The sequence below is a fragment of the Homo sapiens genome, chromosome 22 (assembly GCF_000001405.40).
Source record: "Homo sapiens chromosome 22, GRCh38.p14 Primary Assembly".
In the NCBI taxonomy this organism is placed as follows: domain Eukaryota; kingdom Metazoa; phylum Chordata; class Mammalia; order Primates; family Hominidae; genus Homo; species Homo sapiens.
In genome coordinates, this window is record NC_000022.11 from 26,775,222 (window position 1) to 26,781,221 (window position 6,000).

Here is a 6,000-nt window from a genome sequence, read left to right on the forward strand (position 1 = left end):
GTCCTGTGGGATTTCTTTTTTTTAAATGATTCTATGGTTTTTAGTATTCTTTGATTCTTTAGCACTATATCCTCAACTTCTATAGCTCTTCGATTTTGCATTTCTTTGATTCTGAGATATGATTATCTGGGGACATGGACTCTCTGGCTCAATTATTTCAAGAAATAATCTTTATTCTTTTTTCTGGATTAATGTTTGATTAATGTGTCTAAGCTCCTCCTGTGAGACAATGGTTCATACCAGGGTGGGACATCAGCAGGAGCAAGGGGGATGGTGGGGGTGCCGCTGACTAAAAAGGTCTCATATATTGGCTGTGTCCAAGGTCAAAACCAAAACCCGAGCAACCACACCTGGTATCAGGCATTAGGGGTCAGTATGTGACCAGGAGAGCCAGAGGGTGCCAGGTGATTAAAAGTCGGTGTATGGAGGATGGAGTGGGAGATGAAGGGCAATGAATGAAAATGAAGCAAACATCATATGTTTGATATGGTGAAAAGGATGCTAAAATTCCTCCCATTGAGTTTGGGCAAATCCTATGGTTCTCTGTGATAAGCCCTTTCTATCCCCTTTCCCTACCAAATCTTCCTGCTACATTACACTCTGCTCCCTACCAGGGAGCTAAATAGCAACCTGTGTATTTCATCTAGGTCGGTTACTTAACAATCCTAAGGAAACTATTTGAATTTAAATGACTGCCTTCTAGACACAACACAACAATGATAGCAATAAAAATAATGACTTGTAAATTAGTCAGCATCAGCTGGGCTGCTGTAACAAACAACCCCAAATCTCATAAACAAACGTTAGTTTTCACCCCTCTGAAGTCCACTGTGGGCCTAGGCAGCTATGGTCCATGTGGTGACTCAGTGATCCAGGCTTTTAAAATTGTGTGCTTCTGCACTGCAATTTGAGGACGCCTCATTTGCTGTGTCAGGGGAGGAGAGAGATTGGAAAACCTCATGGGGACTGTACACTTCCTTGGCCTGAAGCGATGCTCATCACTTCCATTCACAAAGCCAGTCATATGCCCCTTTAGCTGGAAGAGGGTAGGGAAAGCTAGTTTTCTGTGCATCCAGGAAGGATGAATATAAAACAGCATTTAGTGAACACGTAATTTTCTCTGTGTTGCAACGACCACTTCTTTTTAAATAGGTACCACAAGACAATTACTCTGCAGCGATTTATTTAAATCATCTCAAAGATCCTTACAGGTGAGGAAACTGAGGCTTGGAGAAGTTGAATGACTTGCCTAAAGTCACACATATAATGGTAGATCCAGAATTAGAAGCCGTGGTTCTGTTTCACCATAACCTGTGCCCCTCACTGTTCAGATGATGGATCCTCAGACTCCGGGGGAGCTGTGGGGTAACTCCCTCCACCCTTCAGCTACAGCCTGGAAACCATTGCCTTTTCTGCTCATTGCAGCCAGGCCTGGATCCATGTGAGGAAACACACCTGCTGCCTCGGGAATCCCATACCAGTGATGTGACACTCACAAAAGGCGATCAATGGTTCCTGACAATTTTTTCTTTTCATTTAGGCAAAAAATATGGAAAGCATATTTGATCTTTGATTTTCTTCCATTTCCCATCTGTTCTTTATTAGGAGTTCAAACTTAATAACCTTCCAGAGTTGGTATCAAATTCAGACGCTGACGCTCCTTGGAGAGGTTCTTTGCTGCAAGAGGATGGAAAGGATCACTGTGATTTTGTTTTTCTCCTGCTGCTCTGTCTGTAAGTCCATCTGTTTCTCTTGCCCTCTGTCTCGAATCCTTCCCACTCAAAAGGTCAACCTTACTTGTGGGTGAAGCAGGAGATGACCTGGTGTATAATTTCAGGGGTGTTGAATTGATCTTGTGTCCCTTCAGGTTCTCTCCCATGTGTGACTTGTGCATAAAATCCCACCATTCAAGGCTCTTCTCTTTAGCTTGTAAATCCTCTTAAGTTACCCAAGAAGGTGCCTTTTCAGTGATTAGGAAAAAATCTTAAGCAGATTTCAGAGGGGAAAAGAAGTCAGAGAAGAAATAGCACAGTTGGAGCAAAAGCGCTGACTTGGGTCAGAAAACCTGGAGTTGAGGTTTTCTGAAAAGCCACCCACGTGGAATATGGGTTTAGCAAGTCACTCACCCTCTCTGACTCTGTTTCTTCAGTTATAAAATGGGGATGTTTTAGATACCCCAGGACAGGGTCACAGTGGAAATGAACAGAGATCATGAAGACAACTTATATTCACCAACTGTTTTTGCAGCGTGGCAGAAAAATATTCTGGAATATTAACTAAGGTCTTGTTGTATGTGTGTGTGTTTTAAATTCCATGCAATAATTTATGTCCTGTGACCAGTGTCCTCCTTCAGGCAGCAGCCGACAGACCATGCGGCATTTATTGCCTCAGGGAAAGAATGACACAGCACAAAGCAGTTAGAGACCAAGTCAAATTCTTGGCTTTCGAATTTGAAAAGCCAGCCAAGGTCTGGGCAGATGACAAAAGATATGGAAGGATGCAAAAGTGAAGCCTCCCTGTTTCCAAGAACAGAAAAGACTCTCTGAGTTGCAGAACAGACACTGATGCATCCTTTGAAAGAGCATAAGGGGCTTAAAGTGAGGAGTGAAGGAGGGTGTTTGCAACGTACCCAAGGTCAGACATGAGCAAGAACATCTCAGCAGAAGCCAGTGGGATAAATACACCATCAAGAACCAGATGAACCCTATTCCTGACACCCTATGGGAGGCAAGCATCCCAGGTGGGCTGCATTGAGTCCCACCTCCTGGGATTCATACCCTCATTCAGTCTTCTCCTTTATTATTTTATTTATTTATTTTCAAAAGACAGGGTCTTGCTCTGTTGCCCAGGCTGGAGTGCAGTAGCATGATCACGGCTCACTGCAGCTTTGAACTCCTGTGCTCAAGCGATCTTCCTGCCTCAGCATCCCCAGTAGCTGGGACTACAGGCACGTGCCACCACATCTGGCTAATTTTTAATTTTTTTGTAGTGACAGGGTTCTTGTTTTGTTGCCCAGGATGGTCTAGAACTCCTGGACTCAAGTGATTCTGCTGTCTTAGCTCCCCAAAGCAGTGGGATTGCAAGTGCAAGCCACCATGCCCAGCCTCCATCTTCATTATATCAGTACCACCTGTGTGATCAGTGTTGTACAGAGGAGGTGATGTATGACTTCTGAGGTTATGCCGTGAAAGACTTGCAGCTTTTATCTCATCCTCTTGGATCCCTTTTCCTCAGGGAAGCCATGTGAGGAGGACATCTGAGCAGCCCTGTGGAGAGGCCCCCAGCCAACAGCCAGCATGAACTTGCTGGGCATGTGAGTGCACCACCTTGAAAGTAGAGCCTCAACCCCTGGTCAAGCCATCAGGTAAGATTGCAGCCCTGGCTTATATCTGACCACAACCTCATGAGCAACCCAGATCCAGGCCACCCATGTAAGCTGCTTGTGAATTCCTCACCCACAAAAATCATGTGACATAATTAATGTTCATTGTCACTTTAAGATGCTAAAGTTTGGGGTAATTTGTTAGGTAGCAACTGATAACAATGCAACTGATAAACAATCAAGTCGGCATACTGCAATCCCCCCAGAATTTGGACATAGCCCTGGAGAAAGTGGGTAGGCGTCCCTAAATGAACTATGATTCTATTTTTGCCACCTGGAAGAACACAGGCTGTAATAGAAATTATACTCAGTTACAGAACAGTAAAGTTAAATTTCTAGATTGCCTGAGTTTCTAGACTAGCTGAAATATTACAACTCATTTCAAGGAGCTTCCAAATATATTTTCAGAGCTCTGGAAGTCTGGGGAACGCAGGACAAGAGCCACTAGATTTTGGGAACAAGAGTGCTCTTCTCCCCAAGTGGGCAAAAAGGGAGCCGGAAGATATACGCTTCTCCAATTTCAGAATTTGGGGGGACCACTCAGCTTGTGCCTGTACCTTCTCCGGGCTCCCTTTTGTTCCTCATTGCACCCCCTTCTGTGAGCATGCACAAACTCAGCTTGATGCCCAAGCCCTTCAATTTGTCTTGTTAGAAAACCCTGTGTTAAAGAGACCATTAAAACAAGAGGGAAAGATAAATTGCCTGAAGCTGCAAGACTCAGGAGGCAAGGGAGAGCAGGTGATGGAAAACAGGCCTGTGATTAGAGGGCAGGGGGTGGCACAGGAGCCAGAGCAGGCAAAAACATCCACTGGAGATGTCAAAATATTTGAAAATCCTCTTCCTTTGGTGAATTGAGTTACCAAAATGTATTTTTTTTTTTTTTTTGCATGCGGAGAAGAGTCTGAGATAGAGGTTAAGAATATAGTTTCCAGAGTGAGGCAGAACTAGGCTCTGTCCCTTCCCAGCTGCTGTCAGACCTCAGGCAAATCTCTGAACCTCTCTGACCCTCGGTTTCCTCATCTAGCAAGAGGGGACAATGTAAGCCTGTAAAAAATGGCCCGAAGTCTTCACCTTTCTTTGTGTATGTGTCTTTTGCAATGTGACTTTCTAGCTCTTCCTGTGATGAGACGGAGTCCATTTCCCCACCCCTTGATGCTGGGATGGTCTCGTGACTTATTTTGGCCATAAAATGGGGCAGAAGTGATAATACATCAGTCTTGAGCCTAGGTCTCAGGAGGCCTTGTGCACTCTGTTCTCTCTGACCCTGTGATTCCCCATAGGGAGAGCTCAAGCTGGCCTGTTGGAAGATGACAGGCCATATGCAACAGACGTGAAGTGTCCCAGCTGATCCCCTTCCAGAACACCCACCTTCCAGATGACCACAGATGCAAGGGTGAGCCAGCCAATAGCTGCTGAGACATTCCCAGAAAGACAGAACATCCAGCTGACCCATGGACTCATGGGCGATCATGGATAAATGGATATTGTTTCAAGCTACTAGGTTTGGGGTTGGTTTGTTACGCAGCAATAGCTAACAGCTACACCTCTATTTTAAGGAGTTGTGAAGATAAATTGCAAAGGTACAGAAAAATGAATAGCTATAACAGCTACTAGTGATTGAGTGCTGGCTCTGCCTGGTACTGTGCTCAGGATTGGCATGCATTATCTCAAAGAGTTGCACAGGCTAGAAGGGCTGCAGCTGAAGATTCTAGAAGAGTTCAGGTATAATGCCTGGCACATGGTACCTGTTTCATGTATGCTAGTTGTTGGATGCTGCTGATGCTGGCAGCACGTGGAACTCCTGACACATGCCTCTGATTTGGTAGTGGGGTCTGAACTTTGTAATCTGTGTGTCCAGAGACCTTGGGAAGTCTTCAGCCAAGGGCAGACCAGGAGGTAGCTTTTGTGATCTGAGTGCAGAGAAGTTTCTTAGAGTGAATGGCATCCAGATAGGGTGGGGAAAAAGCATTAGCCAGGGTGCTCCACACACTCCCCTCACTAGTGTGGTCCCTGGACCAGCAGCCTCAGCCTCCCCTGGGCCCTTATTAGAAATGCAGAATCTCAGGTCCTACCCCTGCTTACTGAATCAGTAAGAGCATTTTAACAAGATCCCCAGGGGATTTGTGTGCATGTTAGAGTTTGTCCAGAACACTCTTCTCAAGCTATCTGTGCTGAGACACCAGTATTTTTTTCAAATTCCAATTTATTGCAGAATGACAGTTTTAAAAAATGCAGTAAAAAAGCAAATTCCTAGAAAAATTAAATGAAAAATAAAATATACAAAATCTAAGCCCTTTTTTCATTATTATATTCAATGATACAAAATTGCCATCTGCCAAATTGCTACAAAACTTTCTGAATACTTTTCTTTCTCTGTACGTATTCTTTGTGGGTACCTTACTGTGGACAGGTAACAAACGACTTGCCATGTGGCATGGGCTATGGACTGCCCGACAAGTAGCACCATCTTAGAGTTACCAATGATAATGATACTAATACAATATGACCACACATGATTGTGTGCTTGATATCAGCTCATAATAAGGGCTTACAAGCTTAAATACCTGGAAATCCTCTCAGCAAACTGTGGGGCAACTAATGTATTTATCTCCATTTTG

At 44.3% G+C, this 6,000-nt stretch overlaps 1 long non-coding RNA gene across 1 annotated transcript in view, besides 1 other annotated feature; it reads left to right on the top strand.

The window, feature by feature from the left end:
- Window positions 1-5,672, top strand: part of MIATNB (MIAT neighbor) — a 108,051-nt gene extending 102,379 nt beyond the window's left edge. Inside the window, exons 4-6 of the long non-coding RNA NR_110543.1 lie at window positions 1,606-1,733; window positions 3,235-3,364; window positions 4,663-5,672. This is a non-coding gene — a long non-coding RNA (MIAT neighbor). The remainder of the gene's footprint in view (window positions 1-1,605; window positions 1,734-3,234; window positions 3,365-4,662) is intronic.
- Window positions 2,265-2,559: an enhancer, noted in NCBI's record as "tiled region #13066; HepG2 Activating non-DNase unmatched - State 22:ReprW, and K562 Activating DNase matched - State 9:DNaseU". NCBI's record gives its function as "activates a minimal TATA promoter and a strong SV40 promoter by Sharpr-MPRA in HepG2 and K562 cells {active_cell/tissue: HepG2 | K562}" and the evidence as "EXISTENCE:reporter gene assay evidence [ECO:0000049][PMID:27701403]".
- Window positions 5,673-6,000: the final 328 nt, after the last annotated feature.